A 24626-nucleotide genomic window follows, 5' to 3' on the forward strand; every position below is an offset into this window, starting at 1 on the left:
CACTCTCATCTCCATAGCCTGCGAGATGAGACTGCTGTGAAAAGAAGGCTGGTTTGGGAGTTAGGAGGTCTAGTACAGTTTCAATCACTTGCTGTGTTGCCTCAGGCAAACCACCTAACCTGTCTGTTGCAGTGTTCCCATTGGTAAAATCGAGTTGCTGCATTCTGTCATTCATATTTCAGAGTGCTGCTGATTTCTGTGTGAGTAAATGAGATAACAGATGCTAAAGTGGGATATGAATGCATAGTATGATTATGCTGCAATTGCCTCTCATTCTTTTAATCATACATTTTGACTGTATCGTTTTAATTTACGGAGGCACCCTAAGGCCTAATAACATATAATGCAGCATGCAGGAAATCAAACAAACAGATAAATGCACTGGAGGAAGAAAGAAATAACTTTTTTAATATGTTGTTTGCAAGTGGCTGTATGGCTGTAGAACCTGGGGTGTGTTTCTAAGAGGAAAGATAATGACCAGTGAGGGGCCAGCCCTTGTCTGGAAGGAGAGAAAAACTCATAAAATCTCATCACCACTCCAAGCCCCAAAGGGGAGACCCACTTTACTGTCACAGTCCTGAAATCTCAACATTAGCTTGATTTCCTTTTTTAGCTTGGTATTCCTTGTCCTTCACAGAATAGTTGCAATCTCCCTTTTTGAGTTAATCATGCTTGCTATGGCCTGAGATTTGAAAATGGAGTCTGTGGGTTTAAGTTCTTCTTTTCCTAGTTATAGAAACTTCATAAAGCAAGTGAGGCTCTTATAGCCTACCTTTCTTCATCTGTGAAATGGGCTCAGTAGTCATAATATCTCCATATGGGATGATTGAAAAGATACAGTTGTAAAAATGGGCCTTATAAAAATGTACCAGTAGTTGTCATTGTTATTCCCTGACATGCTCTGTTCAAAGTATTGCATGAGCAGGTTTTGCCTTTTCCCCATCCTGTGCCTTTGTGTGTTCTATTCTTTTTACTGGGTGTATCTTCTTCATCTCTTCTTTTAAAAATCTCACTCCTTTAAAGCACAGGTCAAATACTACCTTCTTTGACCTCCCCAACCATAATAATTTTTTCCTTTCTAGAACTCCTAGATAGTCTATCATCTTTACTGTTCAACTTATGATCTCCTTGCACGGTGGCATCTAGTTTAGTCATTTTTTTTACTTTCCTAAATAGATTATAAGACCCTGAAAGACGGCTACTTATCTAGCACAGTGTGTAGCACAGAGCAATTGCCCAATACCTGTTTTAATTGGAATGCAGGATGAATATTACACAGCACTCATGGCCTTAGGCTTTTGTAAAAATACAAGCGTTGCTGGAGGAGGTGACTCAATAGGTCATGGGTACTTGCATATGCATTAAGAACATTGGGTTTGGGTAGCCAAATGAAGGTGGAAAATCTGGAAAGAACAAGTTGAATAAAGAAGCAGGAGCTGCTAAAACACGTTTTTTTCACTGTAGCAGTTTTTCCTAGGCTAGTCCTGGTCTTGGAGGTGCTGTGAAACCAGTGTATTGACTTGGAAAGATCCCTTAGATCTCTGAACTGGGACAAGGGTTGCAATTCACGGACACCGGATGTTGTGCAATATTCAGGTCTGCCAGAAGGTGGCGCATTATCACTAATTTCATGGTCTGGCAGCTTTGCTCCTGGGGATCCCCAAAGTTGGTGTGGGCATTCTGATGGGTAGCTCTCCTCCGCATTTTGTGTGGTTCAGAGCTTCTCCCCTCTTATCCCCTCCCCTGCCTGCATTCCACTCAGCTTCTTTATGATGTATAAAGATGAAACTGACCCCAGTCTTCAGCCTGAAGAGTGCCTTCCATTGGGCTTCCACATTTGGGAAGGTTCCCGCTGAGATGGGACAGAAGTGTCTCAGCAGTCTCTCAGTTCCTGCGTAAGTTCAGAACCAACTCAAATCATGCTCTCTGCAGTGGAATCTCCCCACCCTGGGCGCGGAGAGAGTGAGCACTCGGTGCCTTTTTGGATAAACCAGGTAAAGAAGAAAACAAATTACTTTTTAGTACACTCCTTTATTCCTCATTCCCTCCGCAGCCTCCTATGACTTCTGATTTCTTGTCTGAACTTCAGGAACAGCACCTCTCTCTGTGTCTTCCTCATCTCACTCCTATATGGTGTTTCATTCTCTTTATGGTGTTATCACATTTATTTATTTATTTTTGAGATGGTGTCTCACTCTGTCACCTAGGTAGGAATATCGTGGCGCGATCTTGGCTCACCGTAACCTCCGCCTTTCAGGCTCAAGTAATTCTCATGTCTCAGCCTCCTGAGTACCTGGGACCACAGTCACAAGCCACCAGGCCTAGCTAATTTTTTGTATTTTTAGTAGAGATGGGGTTTCACCATGTTGGCCAGGCTGGTCTTGAACTCCTGGCCCCAAGTGATCCACCTGCCTTGGCCTCCCAAAGTGCTGGGATTACAGGCATGAGCCACCGCACCCAGCCTGTTATCACATTTATTATCTTACATTTTCACACAATATCTCTAAAATGTGCCACAGATATTTTTCTCTATTTTTTATTAGAGCGTTCACGTTTATATCACGCACCATTTAATTTGACCCTCACAGCAGCTATGAGAAGTTTTGGGGCATGAGCATTAATATCTCCATTGTACAGATGAAGACACACACAGGAAGAGTAAGTGATTTTCTCAGAAAGTATAAGATGTTCAAGAACCTGTTCATCTTGTTGCTAATGTACTTTACTCTTCTTCTCACTATGGATGATGCAAATAAGGCTCAAAAGGAAGATATGACTTATCCAACGTCCTAAAGTCAATGATGGTATAAATGGGGCTGGAATTAATATCTCTCGATTCTCAATTCAGTGTTCTTTGTATCCCACTAAGGAATCCTTCTCCATTCTCTAACAGACCATTGGCTATCTGTCTACCCAACTCATTTCCTATGTCTTCAAACTCTTAAGCACACGTCAATCAGCATTTGACAGAGGGTCCCAAAGGTGAATGCCTGAGGCATATGGAAAGCTCATCAGGAATTATTATTTTAAATTTAAAATGGATAAAACAAGCACTGGCAAGAAATCCATCAATCTGCTAGCAATGACTGTGCAAATGACTGGGTATAGGTATTAGAGGTGTACCGCAATATCTCTAATACTGTTACCCAGTCATTTGTACTGTTATTGTTAGCAGATTGAGAAAAGTGTTTTCATTTTTCTGTTTCTATGTTTTCAAAATTTTCTTCAGTGAGATTTTTAACTTTTATAATGGAAAATAAACATTACAAAGTGGAAAAAAATGTTTTGTGCCACAGGTTTGGGATGTGTTTGTGCAGCTGTGTGCATGGGAGTGGCTGTTGCCACATTGTGTTAAATGGGATGGAGGCTGGGTAGGGCAGGAACTGTGCTCCAGTCTTCTCCAAGGACAGGTCATTGTGTCATTCACTGGTTCCCATTCCTCCCCTAAAGCCCTGGCTGATGATTTTCGCACGCTTTACTTAATAACTTCCTCCCTACCTGGAGCCCGGTGGAATCCACAAAGCCATAAGCACACACCAGCCTGGTAGGTTGGGGCAGGTGGGAAGGAGCTCTGGGAGGCTGGGGCATCAGAACTTCACCCTCTCTGGTCAGAGCTGTGGGCTCCTGAGCTTCTCCCTCTGCCTGCTGTGGACTTATGTAACACATTCACAGGACTTCATTTTCCAGTAGATTGAAAGCAAAGCCGCTGTTGATTTTCTCCAAAATGATCTATTTGGAAGTGCAATTGCCTGGAATTACATGGTGGCGCGAGAGGTTAGACCTTGCTGTAAATAACTTTCCTCTCAGCCACACAGGGGCTCAGCTGGAAGCAGTGTCTGGGCTTTAGATGACGGTGTTTGGGGTGTGTGTGTGTGTGTGTGAGTGTGAATACATGTGTGCATGGTCTTGGGGCCTTTGCTCACCTTGCTACCACTTCTTCTACCTTTGGAGCTTTGCATCAGAATAAGGAATGAGGGCAGAGATGGGGAAGGATGGGGTTGTGCTTGTGGTTTCTTTTATCAGCTGGTTTATAGGGCCTGTCTCTGGCCACCTCTTCCCCTTATTGCTGCAGGGTCCTTGAGTCATGTGAGGTTGAGTAACTCAAGCACAGAGTGTGGAGTGGCACAAAGAACAAGCTTAAGAATTGGACGTTTCTGAGTTATAGCACCACATGTGCCCAATTACAACATACGGGACCTTAGACAATTGCTTACATCTATGACCTCCTGTGTCTTTATACATTAAAGCAAACAAACCTAAACCAAACAACTGGTATAAGGTGTGGGAGTTGAGAGTACCTACATTTCAGTATTGTTGCAAGAGTTAAAGGAAGTAATGCTGGAGAAATCACACTGCACAGTGTCTGACACTTGGTATGTGTTCTGTAAATTTAGTTCCATTCTGTGCCCTGCCTTGCCTTTCATGACAGATTGAAATTAAAAGCAAAAGCAATGGGCTTGGAACCAGGATGGCCTAATCCAAAGTTGTGAAACATGCAAAGTCTGGGGTGTTTCACTTCTTTCTATACTCCCTTCCCGTATAGATAGCCATAGCATACATACATGATTCCCCCAAAGAAAGACTGTAATAAACGAACTCTCACTGCAGCAGATGGGACTTAATGCTGTCTGCTCCTGGTGGGCATTTGTATTTTAAGAGTCCTGCGTAGGCACGTAGAGGACAATGTTTAACCCAAAGATGGCAGCATTTTATGCAGGATGGCATTTAGATGGCAGAGCTATTTTTAGATTAGAAAGTCTTACATTTACTCTGGCCATTCTTCAGACCAGCCTTATTTGCAGGCGTTAGAATGGGATTATGTGCTAGATCAAGTGGACATTTTTCTCAAAACTCACCTAGTGTTGTCCTTTTCACATTTCCCCATGAAATTTAGAAAATAATAGAATCTTATCAAATATGGACTACATCCTCAGGAGAAGACTTCCAGACAGTTCTGGAGAAGGCATCTAGCCGCCCACCTACCTAACATTTTTTGGAATCCTACACTGTAATATAATAAATATAGCTGACATTTATGAAATATTTTGCTAAATTTTTATGTGCATAATCTGAGTTAATTCTTACTACTTCCGGTGGTACTGATATTATGATGCCATTATTATAGCATATTGGCCAAGAGCAAAGATGCTGGAGCCAGGTTACTTGGCTCAAGTCTCAGCTCACCAGTCACTAGTAGTGTGCCCTAAGGCAAGCTGATTCTCTGTGGCTTGATCTTCTTATATTTAAAGGAGGAATATAATAGTACTACTTCATAAGGCTGTTTGGGGCATTAAGTGATTCAATGTACATAAAGTGCTTAGAAGAATGTCTGGCTATTATTATCACCATTAAACATCTGAGAAAATTGTGGATGAGGGGAAGGGAAGTGATTTTCCCAGTGACACCCAGATGGTGACAGATCCAGGTCAAGATTTCATGCCTTAGGACTCCCAGCCTAGTGCTTTTTTCTTGGTATGAGGAATATGTGGAGGATCTTTAATTTTTCCCACATTATTATCTCTCAAGGCAGCTGTCAGTCATAAGTAACAGCATTTCAGAATGGCTGAAAATCTAGATGAGAACAATTGAAAAGGTGAGAGCTTGTTTAATTAAACTAGTTCCTGAAAGCATGTAAAAAGAAGTTTTTTCATAAAGTGGTGCCAATTTGGGTGCCCACCCCAGCTTGGCAGTTGCAGCTTAAGCACTAGTTAGTGGGCTTATTAATCAATGGCATCAGAGCCAACATCCAGGCTACAGCTAGCCTTCTAGAGAGGTGGTGCTGCCAGGTGCAATCCCAAGATGAGAGTCAACTTGTATGATAAGCATAGGTCAAGCTCTGAGTTTTCATTAGAAAAAAAATAAGTGGCTACTTCATAAAATATGTTAATTAACCATTGATGGAGTTGGGATAGAATGCGAAAGTTACATTTTCTTTAGAAAGTATAAAAACCCTTTAGAGTTTTTATTTCCTAAAGTGACCCAGAACAAGCCTTCAATAGACCAAGTCCAATAATGCCTCATGTGTTTCAGAGGGAGAGGGTGGGCCAGATGAGGAGGGTGGTCACCAGGAGTTCTCCTTTGTCCTCCTCCCATTTCTCTTGACCTCTCTTGTCATAATGGCTACAGTTCCACTGTTAGGGATGTATTATTTTGGGCATTGATAGTGTTTAAAGAGAAATTTAATTTCCAACATCTCCAAGAGACAACAAAATTATATAGCATCTTATATGGAACTCTCTTCCTCCCTGTTCAGATGCAGCAGCCAACTAGGACCATGCGGCCAACTAAGAACTGGAAAATAAGGCAAGGTGCCTTGGGAGGAGAAAGGGTGGATGATATATGCCGATTGACCATTTTGCTAAAGCCCAGGTCTACTTTATGCCATTTTGCTCTGCAAAGTGCTGCTGGAAGAAGTTCTGTTTGGAATTAAGTTAGAACAGGGAGCTCTGATCCAACATAAGAGAGCATCCCACTCAACCAAGATAATTAAGAGTTTGTCCTTTCTTCATTCCTTTTTCCAGCATAAGAAAGAGCATCCTACTTGTTTTGGATTGAATTTTATCCTCTCAAAAGATGTTGAAATTCTAACTCCCAGAACTTGTAAATGTGACCTTATTTGGGTCTTTGTAGATGATCGAGTTAACGTGAGGTCATTAGGGTGGGCCCTAATCCAATGAGTATGTTCTCATAAAAAGGGGACATTTGGACACAGAAACAGACACATATACACAGGGAGAATGCCATGTGAACATGAAGGCAGAGATCCAAGTGATACATCTACAAGCCAAAGATTGCCAGCAAATGACCAGAAACTAAAAAAGAGGCATGAAACAGACTCTCCCTTAGAGTCCTCGGAAATAACCAGCTCTGAAAACACTTGATCACAGTCTTTTAGTCTCCAGAACTGCGAGACAATGAATTTCTGTTGTTTATATCACCTGCTTTGTCGTACTTTGTTGCCCTAAAAAACTAATACACCACTGAACCAAGATAATTAAGAGCTTATGTCCTCTCCTTTCCTTCTTTCAGTAAATATTAGATGAGAGTCTACTGTGTGCCAGGCACAATACCAGATCCTGAGAACAATATCTTAGATAAGATCTTTGCTTTTAAGGAGTTCATAGACTATCAGGGATACGGATAAGTAAGCAGGCCATTACTGGCTGTATGATAGGTATTTCATGTCTTTTTTCCCCTCTAGACCACTAGCTCTCAACCTTCACCATACTCTAGCTTCTCCTGATAACTTAAAAAAAAAAACCTATGTCCAAGCCCCATTCCCAGGCATTTTGATTTAGGTACCCTGTGGTGGGAACAAGGCTTTGGTATTTTATGAATCTTCCTAAGAAATCCCAAAAGGCTGTTATTGATGAAAACCACTGTTTTCAAATATACCCATCATCAGGGCCCCAGTCCACACTAATAAAGTTGGAATGGTAATGATATTTTTTAGAAAGCTTCCCAGGTGATTCTAATGTGTAGCCAGGTTTGAGAACTGCTGTCTCTCCTGAGAGGTAGGGATTTGGTCTGTCTCATTTAATGCTGTGGCCTCTCTACAGTGTCTGTCACAGAATAGACAGTCAATAAATAATTGTTGAGTCAGGATCTATGATGAGAAAAACATAAGGTGCTATGGTGCATAGAAGATGAGTGCTCAGGGCAGTCATTAGAGAACTGAGACCTGAAAGATGAGTTGACTTATCCAGGCAAGGAGGGAAGAGAAGAGTGTGTCTGGCAGAGGGAACAGGATATGTATAGAGCCAAGGAGCTGGCTGTAACTTGGCATAGCTGGAGCAAAATCTATGGGTGGTGAGGGGTAAGACTGGAAAGCGGAGCAAGGACTGGGTCATGAAGAGCCTTGCAAGCCACGAGGAGTTTGGATTCTGCCATAGGCTTGTTTGTGTTGTCCAGGGGCATAGCCATGAACTCTCAAGGCTGATTTTTGTTTCCTTGGCCTTGATGCTCACCCAGGTCGAGAGTAGTATCTTGCACTTTTTCTCTTTGAAGACAAAAGCCCAAGGAGGGTGTGGCATTTTGATGCCCAGGGCTGTAGGCCCATCTCATAAGAGGAGCATTGCCGTCTTTCTGGAGAGACCATCAAGTGTCGCAACTGCACTGCACCCCCTACATGGGACCTTCCATCACCAGGACTTGGGAGTTAGATTCCCCAGCCCTCCTTCTATACTTCCACATCTTGGGTGGACCCTGGGGGAGCTTCCACATCCCTCTTTACACATCCTTCCCATTCCTTTCAGTCCAGTTTTACCTGGACACACATGCTAAGGATGGAGAGGGAGGAGAAGACTCAGTGTGATATTCCCCAGATGGTCCCCTTAGGGAGAGCTCCTGGGCAGGGCAGGTTGATCTGTGCAGGAGGAACCTAACCCTCCATCCCAGGGGCTTGCGCATATATCCGCTGGGTGCTTGCTTGTCTGAGCCGTGCTGTTGGCAGCAGTGCCCGATTTAGTACTCTGCAGACTTCATTAACAGCCTGCCTGTTCCACTCCGAGTTCTTAATGAAGATGTTAAATAAAATGTGATGTTAGTATTGCCATTTGTACAGCACTTCATATTTACCAAGCACCTTTAGAACGTTTTTATTCTTTTCCAAGTGATAGCCCCAAGAAGTCGATTAGTACTGCTGCCCCATTCTACAGAGAGGCAGGCCCTTGGGAGTTCATTGATCTGTTGAAAGCCAGGTAGCCAGCCACCACCCCACCTTCTATCACCAGTGGGCATTACTCACCCTCTTTTGCCCAGAACTCAATTTGTTGAGCTGCTGTAGCTCCTCAGGGCCCAAGGACATCTCACATTCCTCCCTCCAAATTCCAGACTTTGCTCTCTAAATATTATTCCTCTTCATCATTCTTACAATGTTGTGTTTTCAGTTTGGGAAAGCCTTAGTCTTCTCTTGGTCAATTTGAATGAATTTGCAAGTGAAATATCCTGATGGACATCAAATGTCTCCCTGACCATCTAAACACACAGCACGCCTCAGGGCCCCTGTTGTCCATCCTGCCTCTTTCCAAAGCCTGTCAATGGCACTGTGTTTGTGTCTGGCACGATCTGTCTTCTGTAAACAGTCGCAGGACAAACAGCACTGTTGTCTTCCTAAATATGACAGTCGACACCCCCCTACGACAGTTTTTACTTGTGAAACCATAAATCAGAGGCTCCAAGTGGCAGCATCTCTAAAGAACTGAAAGAGGAAGTAAACCTTGTAAAGAAAAGTACAAAAAGCGGCTCAGGTTTGCTTCTCTGAGCCTTGTTGGAGCAGTTGAATAAGGCTTATTAATAGGTTTACTTAGCTCTCTGTGCCTTAGTTTTCTCATATGTTAAATGGAGCTATTAATGGAAACACAGGTATGTAAAGGGTTTTCTGCTTTAATGACATAAGCATTTTGGGAGGGACTTCTTGCAACACTATTTTTGACTTCACACTTTTAAAAACCTATCACTAACTTTCTTTTTCTAGCGTACTATGCTGTCTTCATGTTGCCTTCTTTGCGTGTACTTCATTTCTTTTTCTTTCTTCATCCGGCTTTCTCTTACCTTCTTATCATCTGTCATTGCATTCATTTATTCCTTCTTCCACTGTCCTAAATCTCATCACCTTCTTATTCTGTTCCTTATCCTAGCCCATGGGAGGGTCCCCTCTGCTATTACTGACTGGCTTATCCCACAGGATTCTGCCTTTTCTCCCCCTACAGGCTCTGCAGGATTTCTTTCCCTTTCTCTCTCTCTTTCTCTCTTTCTTTCTTTCTTTCTTTCTTTCTTTCTTTCTTTCTTTCTTTCTTTCTTTCTTTTTCTCTTTCTTTCTTTCTTTCTTTCCTTCTTTCGTTCGTTCATTCCTCCTTCCTTCCTTCCTTCCTCTCTCCCTCCCTTCCTCCCTTCCCTTCCCTTCCTTGCTTCCTTCCTTCTTCCTTCTCCTCCTTCTCCTCTTCTTCTTTCTCTTCCTCCTCCTCATCTCCCTTCCCTCCCCCATCCCCTCTCCCCCGCCACCTCCTCTTTCTCCTCCCACTCTGTGGTCCAGGCTGGAGTGCGGTGGTTCAATCTCACCTCACTGCAACCTCTGTCTCCTGGGTTCAAGTGATCCTCCCACATTGGCCTCCCAAGTAGCTGGAATTACAAGTGCACACCACCACACTCAGCTAATTGTTGTATTTTTAGTAGAGACTGGGTTTTGCCATGTTGGCCAGGCTGGTCTCGAACTCCTGGTGATTTGCCCACCTTGGCCACCCAAAGTGCTGGGATTATAGGCATGAGCCACCACGCCCAGCCAGGATTACTTCTTGATGGAGGATTTGTGATGTGGTGTGGGAGTACAGAGCGAGGATGATGGTGGAAAGATGCAAGGCCCCCTCACTTCGTTATTAGGTGATAGAGGAGAGGGTGACAGTGAGATAGTAAATAGCTGAGGGGATTCTGAGTTCTTTGACTCAGGGAGCTACCTTCTGGTCCAGGATCAGGTAGTACTGAGGGTTACAAAACAGGTCAAAATGGCCTGGCAACACATTGTAGTTCTTCAATGGAAAGAACATTGCACTGAGAATTAGGATTGTTAAGTCAGAAACTGTGAAGGGTCTGAGACTGCAGCCTACTTGCAAGCTAACAAGTTAATCTGCCACAGGTAGATATTATATATATGTATATGGTGTATACAGATATATATGTGTGTATAGATATATCTGTATATGTGCATACACACGTACCCACACTGCTGTCAGGGTACATAATGAGAGAAGATACAAACTCTAGATCAAACACAAAGATCATTGATTACTTATGGCAAATACAGCAATCAAGGTGATCTCTTGCATTAGTTCTCTGAATCCTGATGCCCATGGGTGATGTGGTAAGGGCCAGATGGTAGTTGCACATATAGTGGAGCCTGTTAAGCAGGAGACACCCCCCGCTCCAGTTTAGAAAATTCTCTGACCTTATCTAGGGCTGCTGGTGACCTGCTCATACTCTTCCCTGCAGAGAGAGAAGACCTTAACTTTACTCTAGAATATGAGCAAATCTTCAGAGAAAGGAGGGAGACCTAACTATCCTGGAATGTCTCTGGGGAAGGAGACAGTCTCTATCTTTGTTATACTGGTCAGGAAACAAATCTGCCTTCTGACCTAGAGAGAGACACTCTATTTCATTTCCAAGAATTTTTACTATGCAACCAACCCAGAAAAAATTGTCAGTAGAGCCCTTTGCTCAGAGGACTCAAACTGTGCAGAAATGTGAGATATTCACAGAGAATTGTCTTCCAACAGGGACTCTTAGGTGTGAAGTGAGGGGCTTAGACAACATTAGAGACTTGAAAAATGTGGAATGTGTGTACCACCACTCTCCAAATCTATGCCCAAGGCAGCCATCACTAATTAATTGGGGTTTTTTGGTGCAAAACCCTAGGCAGTCTGTACTATACTGATTATTACCTGAGTCCCCTCTAGCTGTGTGAAATCATATTCTTCACGTTTCCTCCTGTGTTCCATCTTTTCTACTTTTGTGAATCTGTGTATCTATTTATATCTTTATCTGTCTCTAAGTTGGGGAAAAGGAGAACATCTCTTCTGAGGCAATTTTGTGGTTTAAGATTTTCGTACAAAGCAAGTTCTTAATCCTACCAAATAACATTCTCAATTTAGTCTTTAATCCATGAGAACTGTAGCTATTAACTTAGAGAGGCTTCCCTTGCAAACAGGGATTAATAGAAGAATAGGTGCCTGTTGTTATATCTCCTTCTCACCATTGGCTATGAAAGTATTCTCCAAATTCCTCTAGAGTGATACATTGGAGCCATCTAACTAAGGAGAAGACTTTAAAAGAAATATGGCGCAGGTGAACATTTGCTTGGAGAGGGGAATCCTACATCAGAATAGATACAGTCTGAGACTCCTTCCAACTCTGAGATTCGACCAATGATGCCACCTGGGCACTTGGAAGATGTCCCTTTACCTTTGAGTCAATTTGGACTCTACTCCCAGCCCAAGTAATCTTTTCCTTCTTGTGTTCTATACTTCAAATTCTGCGTTTATTCAGTGGGTAGATGTGGACTTACATAGCTAACATACTGGGGTTTCTACTGAAGACCTGGTTATATTTTATTGCCAGCCACTGAAATGAAAGGAATCAAGAGAATAATGGGAAAAGTATATGAACTGTGAGTAGGGCATCAAAAGATAGAGGATGCTGATTAGCTAAGTGACCTTGGATGCATTACCTAGCCTCCTCGTGCCTCAGGTACCTTTCTTGAAAATGAAGAAGTTAAGGCCTGCCTGGCTGTCTATCTCATGGAGATATTGGCAGAGCAAATGAGGTCATGTTCAGTGTATGAGGTGCCCAGAAAAGAGATGTTGGTTGAATGCAAAGCTGGCTTTTGCTGCTCTGAATCTCATCAGCCTCTCGTCCTGCTCCAACCCATGGAAGGTCTTCCCTCTGCTGTTTCTGACTGGGTCATCCCACAGGATTCTGCCCTTTCTCCCCAGCCCCTGTAGGACTATGTCTTATAAGGGCCTGATGGGGGACTTGTGGTGCAGTGTGGGACATACAAAGTGATGGTGGAAAAACCCAGTGTCCCCTCAATTTTTTATTGGGTGATGGAGTGGGATGATGGTGAGATTGTGAATAGCTGAGAAGATCTTGTTTTTTTGACTCAGGAAGTGTAAGCATACAAAAAAACAAACTCACTTTCTCGTACTATATATTCACAACACAGTACTTCTGTGACCCCTGGCCGTCAAAATGTGTGAGGATTTCTTCCCACCAAGCAATTCTCCAATAGACACCAGCTGGGTGGCCTCTAATTAAATCAGATTCTGACACTGTCTACCTGGAGATAGTGTCCAGTCCTACAGGTTAAGGGCTCAGTCCCACAAGACGGTCCTCCACTTCAGATGTCAGTTACAAGTAGTAGGTTGCCAACTGTGCTTCTGACCAACTGGCTATAAATCGGGGATTCCCACAATCCCCTCCCCAGATTTGATTGATTTGCTAGAGAAACTCACAGAACTTAGGGGAACGCTTTATTTACATCTACCCATTTATTATAAAGGATATTACAAAGAATACTTATCAACAGCCAGATGAAAGAGATGCAGAGTGGGAGGTAGGTGGGGAGGGGTTTGGCGCTTCCATGCCCTCTCCAGCACACCACCCTCCAGGAACCTCGACATGTCCAGCTGTCTGGAAGATCTCTGAACCCTGTCTTTTGGGGTTTTTGTGGAGGCTTCATTACATAGGCATAATTGATTACATCATTGCCATTGGGGATCAACTCAATCTTTAGCCCCTCTCTGTTTCCTGCAGGTTGGGGGCTGGATAGAGCTGAAAGTTCCAAACCTCTAATCATGCCTTAGTTTTTCTGGCCCCCATCTAGGAGCTATGGTGGAGTCCCCAGCCACTAGTCATTTCATTGGCATATAAAAGACACTATGGCGATTCCAAGGATTTTAGGAGCTGTATGCCAGAAATGGCATTTTGGGAGGGGGTATAGGAAAATGTTGGGGTGGAGAGTGAGGAGTTGGCAAAGACCAACAAAGACCAAATATGTTTTTCACACTGTCACAGGGGGCTACTTTCTCGTCAGGAGCAGGTGGCACTAAGAGATACAGAACAGATAAAAATGAGGCTGGCTATGTACACAGATGAAGTATAATGAAAAAGGTTCATGGATTAGGTCTGAGATTCTATCCCTGTTGGGTCAATAATTAGTTGGTATGTGACTAATGTATTGGGAAGATGCCCGGTGGTCTATGATATTGGGATTTTTTTTTTCTTTTTGATTCTTTGGGCCTCTGAAGATAATTCAGCAGTTTACCAGAGGAGTACCCATTCTGCCTGCTCCTTCCCTCTCTAACTTCCTTTCTCCCTCCCTCCACAAATATTTATTTGTACCTTGTTTGTAACTGAAGATAAGCACCTCTGAAATCAGGCCTGTTGGCATATGTCTAAATACTCTTTAACTGAGAGACATATATTCAAAGAAACGTTTTTATATGTCCATAAACTGACACATAGATTGTCAAATCCCTAATAACAAGGTTCAAATTAGAATCCTGACACTAATGTTTTCAAATGTTCTAATACAGGTCACCGTTTTTCCTGGTACAACTCTTGTGAGTCTTATGTGTGTGCATGTGTTCGCATGCAACTGTGTGAGATGCTTTGTTAATTAACATTGTGAAGCTAAGTGCTCAGTGAAAAAAGTACTAGAGAATTGCATATTGTCCTTACAGAATTGTTTGTAAATACAATCAAGTAAAAGCTGTATTGAAAGAGGTAGGCCTTGTTCAGAGCCATGTTACTAATCTCAAGTCTAGGGGTTTGCTCTGAGTGTCTTGGTGTCTTGGTGGCCACATGGATGTTCCTTTACTCTGCTTATTTTCAACACAAGAAAGGTTCTTGCAAAGATGCCTTGGATGAAAAATTCTGCTGCCATGGCTGGTATGCAACTCATTTTGCATGGATGTTCTCTCGGTTCTAACCTAGTTTGTGTTCAGGTAATTCTGGTAATGGGACATTTGCCTCTCCCCTGGGGGACCATTTTTAGTGTCTGTCCATCCAACCAGTTAGTCAGAGAAAAGAGCCCTGATGTAAGTAGAGAAAGAGGTATTTGTAGAACTGTGGGAAAAAGAAAAACATAACACACTGACCTGTTTTAAGAGTGCAGGGTGGGTTCAAGGCTTTTTTAAATTTGGTTTCCCAAGATGTTGGGGTCACTATAAGCTTCGAGAATGGCTGAGGTCCAAATCCTAAAAATTACTTTCATCTCAGAAAATTTGATTAGCAATCAGAATAATTGAAGTGTACCTTTCCAGACACTATTTCCTAAATAAAATGTATGCATAAGTGAAGTCAGACCTGATTTAAGATGAATCTTTCTTCCATTGAGCAGGCAGTGCTTTGGGGATAAAGGGAACTGGTTCCCAACTCCAGCTTTGCATTGAACTGCTGTGTGATCTTTAAATTTCCTCCTAACAAAATGAGGAGAGTAATACTTTCCCCATGGGCTTGAATGAGAGATAAATGAGGTGAAGCCCCAAGCACAATGCCTGTTGCAGTGTGTTCAGCACATGGTCATTTGCTTTCCTTTTCTAGGAAGGAAGCCCGGCTTCCTGGTCTTCTGCTGAGCTTACCCTGGGTTCCCAGAGGCTCCTTTGGATGCCTTGATCCATGGATATCTTCTAAGATGGTCATGATAATGTCAGTCTTCAAAGTAGCTGCTTTCCCTCCTCTGTACTGCAGAGACCAGGCACATACAGAGGCCGAAGGGTGGCTCTGTCTCCTAGGGTGGCTGTCACCAGGTGCCACATCATTCTGTGTTTATGGGTTTGCTCTGATAAGCAGATGAGGGGGGTGCTCATCCATTTTTTAAATTCAAGACATTCAAGTTCAACGTATGAGACACCAGGAGTAATTGTACTATGAACTGACATAAACTGCAATGAGGAAAGACCTTCTCTCTTCCCCTGTCTTAGATTGCACGCCAGGATGTGATAATTAAAGCATCTGTCTCTCTCCAGCTCCCCTTATCAGACATCTTAATTTATTTACTTGTTAAAAACTAAGAGGAGAATTCATGCTTTGTTGGTTTTCCTCTTTATTCTACTTTCATTGTTACATATTAAGTGATCTCTTGGCAAAACGAATACATAACATAGCTATAATTAAATATAATTCTATTTGGTATGGTGTTTCCCTTTCAACCATTGGCAGTTCTTCTAATGACAATGACCTTGTAATTTAAAACATATCCTAGGGGCATCTGTTTTTATTCTGGACTACTCTGACACATTGGTTGAGGAATGACAATAACAATGGCAGGAATTGGGTACAAGTGCAGTTTTGTTACATGTGTATATTACATAGTAGTGAGGTCTGGGCTTTTAGTGTATCCATCACCTGAACAGTGTACACTGTGCCCAGTAGGTAATTTTTATCCCTCATCCCCTCCCATTCTCCCACCTTTTGGAGTCTCTAATGTCTTTATTCTACTCGGTACACCCACGTGTACTCATTGTTAAGCTCCCACTTGTAAGTGAGACATGCTGTATTTGACTTTCTGTTTCTGAAATAGTTCACTTAGGATAAATGGTCTCCAGTGCCATCTATATTGCTGTAAAAGACATGATTTCATTTTTTTATGTCTGAGTAATATTTCATAGTGTGTGTATACATATATGTATACATGGTGTGTGTGTGTATATATGTATGTATATCTCAAATTTTCCTGATCCAGTCACCAGTTGATGGACACTTAGGTTGATTCTATGACTTTAACTTTGCTATTGTGAATAGTGGCTGCAATAAACATATGAGTGCCAGTGTCTTTTTAATATAATGATTTCTTCTCCTTTGGGTAGATACCCAGTAGTGGGACTGTTGAATCGAATGGTAATTCTATCTTTAGTTCTTTGAGAAATCTCCATACTATTTTCCGTAGAGGTTGTATTAATTTACATTCCTACAGTGTATAAGCATTCCCTTTCCTCCATACCTTGTTGTTTTTTTTGACTTTTTAATAATAAAATATGTTTTTCTTTCTTTCTTCCATGATGGTGCACACATAATAGATTATCAATTTACTCTTACATATTAATTATATTAAAGATACAGATGCATACTAGATGCAACACAGAAGAAAGATGCCTTGTTTCTGGCCATAGATATGACAGAGAGATCAATAAAGGCCACAGAATTCTCTTCCTGTTTATTCCTGTGGTTGTTGTTGGGATTTTTTTTAGATATAGCAAGTACTCAGCAAATTTTTGCTGAATACATTTACTTAGAACAAAGGGACACTGGCCTCCTCCAGCCAGCCACATATTATTTTATATATATTATTATGCAAAACACAGTTGTTCAGTATTGCCCCTTTGCAAGATGCTCCTTGACCTTTATCTAAGGGAATTAACTGCTATTATTATTACTCATTCTTTTTTATGCTGCCTATTTATATATTTTTTAAACTTGAAAAGGCGAGTTTTATTTTTATTTATTTAATTAATTAATTTTTTTTTTTTTTGAGGCAGAGTCTGGCTCTGTTCCCCAGGCTGGAGTGCAATGGTATGATCTCAGCTCGCTGCAGCCTCTGCCTCCTGGGTTCAAGCGATTCTCCAGCTTCAGCCTCCCGAGTAGCTGGGCCTACAGGCACCCGCCACCATGTCCAGCTAATTTTTTTTGTATTTTTAGTAGAGACTGGGTTTCACCGTGTTGGCCAGACTGGTCTCAAACTCTTGACCTCAGGTGATCCGCCTGTCTCGGCCTTCCAAAGTGCTGGGATTATAGGCGTTAGCCACTGCGCCTAGCTGAAAAGGAGAGTTTTTGATGAAGCACAAATGTGACTAGACAGTAAGGGAGGAGGCTGTTGGGATGACTGAGAAAAGAAATAAAGAGTGTCTTAGAATCATATAGGTGAGAGAATTCAGAAGTCATTACTGTATACCCATTGAAGGGATTAGATTCTCTGAAGGCTTAAACTAGACAGTCTGACTTAATCTCTCTCTTAAAGGAAAAGAGTTGTATTTTTGTTCTTCATGCTTTTAAAATTATACAAGAAAAAATAAAAGCAAAATTTATAAAAGCAATTTGTATACATTGTAAAAATATTCAAATATTTACAAAACAGCATGAAGAGTAAAATTATCTCCTCTGAGTTCCATTCTCTAAGGATAAAACTGTAAAATGCTTCAATTCTTGGCTCTTCTGTTTACTACCAGGATTCTAACATACTTTCTTGTTTTATAAAATTTAGACAGTAGATTCTGACTTTTTGCTATGAGAGTTTAGGGCCATATACGTAAATGCTATCTTCCACTCATCATTCCTCCTCCGAATTCTCAGTCGTATTCTTACTTATCCATTATCAAGGTATATTAACATTCACATTCTGTTCCCTAAATGTAATTAGATTTTCACATGCTTTATAGTTGATTCTAAAGAGTTTGTTTGGATAGAATGCCTACTATTCATTTTTTCATTCATTTGTTTATTTCATTCAACCCACACTGAGAGACTATTTTGTGCCAGGTATGAGCCTATGTGCAAAGTATGTGCAAGTGTTCACAGAATTGTGTGTAAGACAATTGAATGAGTTTTGGGCAGGAGAAGATACTAGATGCATATCTCAATTCTATTTCTAAAGATGTATTAAAAGAAAATTTAGATGAAAAGGGTTACGGAGAAGGACACTATCATACTTTTAGAGAAAAAGCACCCTGGAAATTGTTTAGATACCTAAATATTGTCAAGTATTAAATAAATTATGGAAACCAGATGGATTGGAATCAGAGCCATTAAAAATTAAAATTTTGAGAACTATTAAATGATGTGATAAAATGTCATAATCTAGCAATTTAATAAAATAAGAAACTGGATATGAAACTAGATCTATAATATTATCCCAGTTCTGTAAAATTTTAAAAAGATGATATGGGAAAGAAATATCACAAGTGATGACAGAGATTTAAGGTTTTTTGTTTGTTTGTTTGTTTGTTTTTTGTTTTTGTTTTGAGACAGAATCTTGCTCTGTCGCCAGGCTGGAGTGCAGTGGCGCGATCTCGGCTCGCTGCAACCTCTGCCTCCCAGGTTCAAACAGTTCTCCTGCCTCACTCTCCCGAGTAGCTGGGACAGGCATGCACCACCATGCCCGGCTAATTTTTGTATTTTTAGTAGAGATGGGGTTTCACCGTGTTGGCCAAGATGGTCTCAATCTCTTGACCTCGTGATCTGCCCGCCTCGGCTTCCCAAAGTGCTGGGATTACAGGCGTGAGCCACCGCGCCCGGCCTAAGGTATTTTTTTAAATTTTTATTTATTTATTTTTTGAGATGGAGTCTTGCTCTGTGACCCAGACTGGAGTGCAGTGACGCGATCTCGGCTCACTGCAAACTCCACCTCTTGGGTTCATGCCGTTCTCCTGCCTCAGCCTCCCGAGTAGCTGGGACTACAGATGTCCACCACCACGCCCGGCTAATTTTTTTTGTATTTTTAGTAGAGACGGGGTTTCTCCGTGTTAGCCAGGTTGGTCTAGATCTCCTGACCTCGTGATCTGCCCACCTCAGCCTCCCAAAGTGCTGGGAAGGTTTCTTCCTTTATACTCACTTTCAATGAGGAAGTGTTATCCTAACTACAAAACAAACAGACAAACAACAACAACAACAAACCTATTGTCTTCAAAAAAATAAAAAGTAACAATAGAATCATTGCCTTCAAGGACAAGATTCTCAATCTGGTGAAAGAGACATTTTAAGAAGTTCTCATAATGTAAAATGGAATAAAATCAGTGTCTGAGTGTCTGTACAAAGGGATAAGGATGGAGTTTTGATAGGGGTCTGGGCATCAGAAAGGACATAACAGGTTGCATCATGAAGACTGAGTAGTATTTCTATGGACAGAGGAGAACATTCCTAGGCGTGAAGGGATGGAAATGAATGTTGAGAAGTGAGCTATCTGAAATTGCTGGACTAGAGTGTGGGCTAAAAGATGTAGAAAAGAAAGTGGTTTAATGGCTTGTGGAGAACCTTGGATGCTTTGCTGAAGAATTAGAATTTAATTGAAAGGCCATAGGGAGCTATGGAGAAATTTTTAAAGAGAGGGGTGGACTTGACCTGTATTTTCAGATGCAAAGTAAAGAGAGCAACCTTTGGCACCAGACAGACCTGGAGTCAAAATCCCAGCTCTGCCAGTTCCTTAGGATAGGTTCTTAGACAAATGAGTTAACTCTTCTCTATTTCCTTATCCATTAATTGGGGGCAGTGATTTCAACTTTACGGTGTGAACATGAGGATAGAACAACTTAATACAGAGTTTCAATATCATGAATGATGAATAGGTCTTTTTTAAAGGTAAGAAATAATACCTGGTGATGAAATAATCTGTACAACAATCCCCCATGACACAAGTTTACCTGTGTAACAAACCTGCACATGTACCCCTGCACTTAAAAGTTAAAAAAAAGAAAATATTTGGATCCACCTATGACCTATAAGCTCTCTCTTTGAGTTGTTCTGCCTTTCCAGACTGAAGTAATGTATGTCTCACATGTATTGATTGATGTCTTCTGTCTCCCTAAAATGTATAAAACCATGTTGTACCCTGAACACCTGGGTCACATGTTCTCAGGACCTCTCACGACTGTGCCTCATGCCATGGTCACTCACATTTGGCTCAGAATAAATATCTTTAATTAAAAAAGAAATATTTGCAGGATCTCACCCCCTAGTCTGTGTTAAATTGTTTCTATTATAATGTTAAATATTTACAACTATATTTGTTATAAATTTCTCAAGTTTCGTGCTCTGCTACAGGTATAAAACCAAAACGAGTTTAAACATTATAAACAACACAAGCACAATAAAATTAAATGAAGCAGTATTAATTTAATAGACCCATTTGTAATCAATATGAAAATAAATCTTTGTGGACGATGTGAATATAGTACTAACTGCTACAGCCCAGGTTATTAAAGTTTGGCCTTTCCCATACTCTGTGTGTTATGTTGACTCAGTCTTTCCCCACTTTTCTCTACTCCAACTTATTGTTTATGCAGTGAACAGTGGTATTATTTAAACTTTGCTTAGCATGAACACATCTTCTATGTATCAGGTCCACCTCTCTTCCTCACTGGCCCATCACTATTAACATCTCACCACTGTAGACATGCATGCAAGTGCAAGCATTGAAACTGCATAGCAGGACTCAATTATGTAGTGGTTATCTAGATGATTTTAAAAATGTTATCAGTATGAAAATTTAGATCACACAGACATACCCACACAGACACACATACACACACACCACACACCACAGCCCTCTTATGGTTCTACACCTCCTATTTGTAAATACATATATCCTAGAAGTCTTATTATTATTGTTTTGTTGTTGTTGTTGTTGTTTTGAGATGGAGGCTCGTTCTGTCGCACAGGCTGGAGCGCAGTGGCACGATCTTGGCTCACTGCAACCTCCGCCTCCCAGGTTCAAGCAATTCTCCTGCCTCAGCCTCCTGAGTAGCTGCGATTACAGGGGCCCGCCACCATGCCTGGCTAATTTTTGTATTTTTAGTAGAGGTGGGATTTCACCAAGTTGGGTCTTATTATTATTGTTAATGGCAGCTTTATTATTGTTAGTGATCTTGGTTAGGTAGATGTATCAGTTGGCTATTGCTGTGTCATAAAGCACCCCAAAATTCCGTAGTTTAAATCAACCAGCCATTTATTATTTCTCATGAGTATTAGGTTGGCTGTACACACCTGCTGATATGGTTTGGGGGCATAATGGGGCTGTCTCTCATCTTTGGTCAGTTGCACGTGGGCTTGTTGGCTTTGCTGATGTGGCTGAGCTTCCTCACATCTTTGAAGCCTTGTCTGAGATGGTTTGGCTTTGCTCCATGTGTTTTCTTCACCTCCAGCAAGTTAGCAGAGGCTTGTTTTTAGGGTAGTCTGGACACATTCTTATGCTGATCACAGAGAAGCAGGGAAAGAAATGGATAAGTGCAAGGTCTCTTTAGGCCTCATGTTAGAGCTGGCAGACTACCACTTCTGTGGCATTCTATTGATTGAAACAAGTCACAAGGCCAATCCAGATTCATCAGCTGGAGACATAGACTCTATAGTCTATTTCTAGATGAGAGAAGCTACAAACTCAAAATTCAAAGAATATGGTTATACGTATGTGTGAAGAATTGGAGGCACTTTTGCAATCAATCCAGTAGAGCAGTTAAGAACATTGAAATCTATTAGGAAGTGACATAGATCTTCTTGGTGAGAGGGATCCTGCCTTAGGAAAGAATGAATGTGTGAGGTGCTCTGCCAGTCTTTGGTGTGGGAGTGAGGGAGAGGGAAGAGTCAAAGATGGCTTTGAGGAACCTGGGCTTGGGTGACTGAGAAGATGGTAAAGCTACTGAGATGAGATGGTCAGCAGGAAAAGTAGGTTTATATTAGGGGGCCTGGGGCATGGGAGAGGTCAAAGATGGAGGGAGAAAATAAGTTTAGAGTTTAGCAAAGTGGGACTCTTCCCACAAGGAGAAACCTTCTCCACCTAGTTACACAATAAAATCGCCTAAAGAGCTTTTAAAATTGATAATTGAGTCTCATCCAAGGCCAATTAAGCTTAAATTTCTGGGTAGAAGGCCTGGTATTTTTTTTAATATTCACAGGAAATCTAATGTATGGCAAAATAGGAATCATTATCTAAATCAGTGTTCTTCTTGTGCCCATACGTTAGAATCACCTGGAAGCCTTATGAAAAATACTGATGCCTGGGCCTCACTACCAAAGAATCTATTTAGTGAGTCTGGGATAGGGCCTTGGCATCTGTATTAAAATAAAGTCTGTCTGGATATATGTGATGTAATGTAATGCAGCCAGAGTTGAGAACCACTGACCTAGATAGTTAATTTTCACTGTGAATAATCAATGTTTTCAGGGTTGCAAGCCATGGCAAAGGGGCACTATGACAAAGTCTCTTTAAGTTCTTGGCAGGTCCAGAATTAGCATGAAATTGCTGGGTGCCAACTGGGGCATGGGGACAGGAGCAGTCAGAAGGTGAATTCTATACACTTCGAAGACCCAACCTGGATCAACACCTGGTGTTTGAAGCACAAGGGCTTGTTAGTGCTAATCCTGCATCAAGTAGAGATGGTGGGAAATCGCCCTGAAAAGCTCTATAGTGTATAAAATGTCATGATGCTATTGAAACCCCTGTTGTCCCATTCAAACCGAGCTTTCTTTACAGTAGCACCTGAAAAATACAACTTCCACCATTTCCTTTGAGAAGGTAAATTCAGTCTGAGATCTCAGTATTTGTTTTCCTTGATTGGAAAGCTAAAACTGCCTCTTCCTTGATTTTGTCCCGTTAGTCTGAGCTTTGACCTTGTTACATGTTAGATAATTCCTTGATATGCTTGTTGTTAATGCCTTATAAATATTTGCAGACCAATTATCTGTCTATAGGCAGCCACTGAGTCAACAACAGAATATCTGGGTTTTTTTCCATGTTCATAAATCATTCTTGGCAGACCTTAATCATTTGGGTTTTTGGCTGGCCTCTCTGACTTTCTTCTAGTTTATTTTTATCCTCCATAAGCCTCATCTATTTTGGAGAAATATTTAATTGCATAAGAGAGAAGTTGACTCCTGTTAGGTATGACACTGACAATCTTCCCTGGGTTCAGGGTTTCTTCAGAGTGGCATGAGAATCCCTTTGGGGATGGGAGAAGGCTTGTGAAAAGGACATATTTATGAGTCCCACCCCAGTTCTCTGAGGATGGGACTCAGGCATCTGGAATTTTCACTTCTTTAAAGGGTAGGTGATTCTTATATAAACAGTTTTAGAGCTATTACCAAAGTTATTGCTTCAAATATTATACTTAGAGGAGAAGTTGGGGCAATTTCTTTTCTCGGTGGGAGAGGCTTTGCTCCATAATCCTCGTCAGTAATCAAGAGATACACCTTTCCTTAAAGAGTTTCCAAAAATGTTCTGCATGAGGAATCACCATTTCATGTCAGTCTTGTATATCAGTGGGGCTGGTTGGTTAATACATATGGATTGTATTGTGTTCATCTGACATTAAGATATAAGCTGAGGCAAAGTGAAGAGAGGAGGAAGAATGAATACAATAGATAAATAGTAAGATAGAAAAGAGAAGAGAAATGGAGATGGGGAGGAAATAAAGAAGAGATATTTGTGTAAATATGGTTTCATCTATGACAATGTTTAGTATCACGCTTTTTTACATTTTGAAGCACTTTACAGTATAAAAAATCCTTTTATATGCGATCCTCACAACTGTCCTGGGGTACTGGACCAGGTAAGTGTTAACATACCCATTTCACAGATGGAAAAATTGAGACTTCTGACAGCAACCTTCCGAAGGTCAGATAGCTAGTGTCAAAACCAACCCTGGAACTCAGGACTTAGTTCTAAAGCAGGAATTTTCTGCCAATCCTAATCTATACTCAGCCTGGGTAACCTAGACTTGTTCTTGCTTGTGTAATGACAAGGCCTTCATTCTGAATGAGTGCTCTGATGTGATTTGATGTAGAGTGGTTCTTTGGGGAGGGACATGGCACTGGCACACTGAACAGAGTGGACTTGGTATCCTGAGGAGGTCCTTGGAAATTCTCATAAAAATCAACAAGCTTATTGAAAGAGCTCATGTTACATCTTATAAACAAAATAAAACTGGTACATGATTCGTGAGTGTCTTCATTCTTCTCTTTCTTCCCTTTCTTCTCTTCAACACACTCAACACACACACACACACACACACACACACACACACACACACACCCCCAAGAAATTCACCTCTGGCTCTGGAATCTGGAGAAAGTTCAAAGTCATGCAGCAATGACCGTCAGCATGATTAGGCCTACTGGAATCAACAAGATAAATTCAGGGCCTGATCACCATCAGACATTTTCTTGGTCTAACCTATTGTGGCCAAAGGAAGGGAAGTCTCACTCAGGTCTGCTCCCTCTCCTTCATTTACTTACTGAGCAGGCTTTTTTTGCTTTAGGGCATGGTTGGTACTGACCCTCCTGGGACTATAATAAAAACTAACCTGGGTACCAGGGTTGAATGTTGATGAGTTTTTTTACCCTCGTTATTTCTCTTGATCATTACAACAGCCTGG

At 41.4% G+C, this 24626-nt stretch overlaps 1 protein-coding gene across 52 annotated transcripts in view, besides 1 other annotated feature; it reads left to right on the top strand.

The window, feature by feature from the left end:
* NRXN3 (neurexin 3) overlaps positions 1 to 24626 on the top strand; it is a 1697919-nt gene that overhangs the window by 276678 nt on the left and 1396615 nt on the right. The window lies entirely within an intron of this gene.
* Positions 1676 to 1865: an enhancer, noted in NCBI's record as "active region_8817". NCBI's record gives its function as "activates an Ori minimal core promoter by ATAC-STARR-seq in GM12878 lymphoblastoid cells {active_cell/tissue: GM12878}" and the evidence as "EXISTENCE:reporter gene assay evidence [ECO:0000049][PMID:35858748]".

The sequence above is a fragment of the Homo sapiens genome, chromosome 14 (genome assembly GCF_000001405.40).
Source record: "Homo sapiens chromosome 14, GRCh38.p14 Primary Assembly".
Classification (NCBI taxonomy): Eukaryota; Metazoa; Chordata; class Mammalia; order Primates; family Hominidae; genus Homo; species Homo sapiens.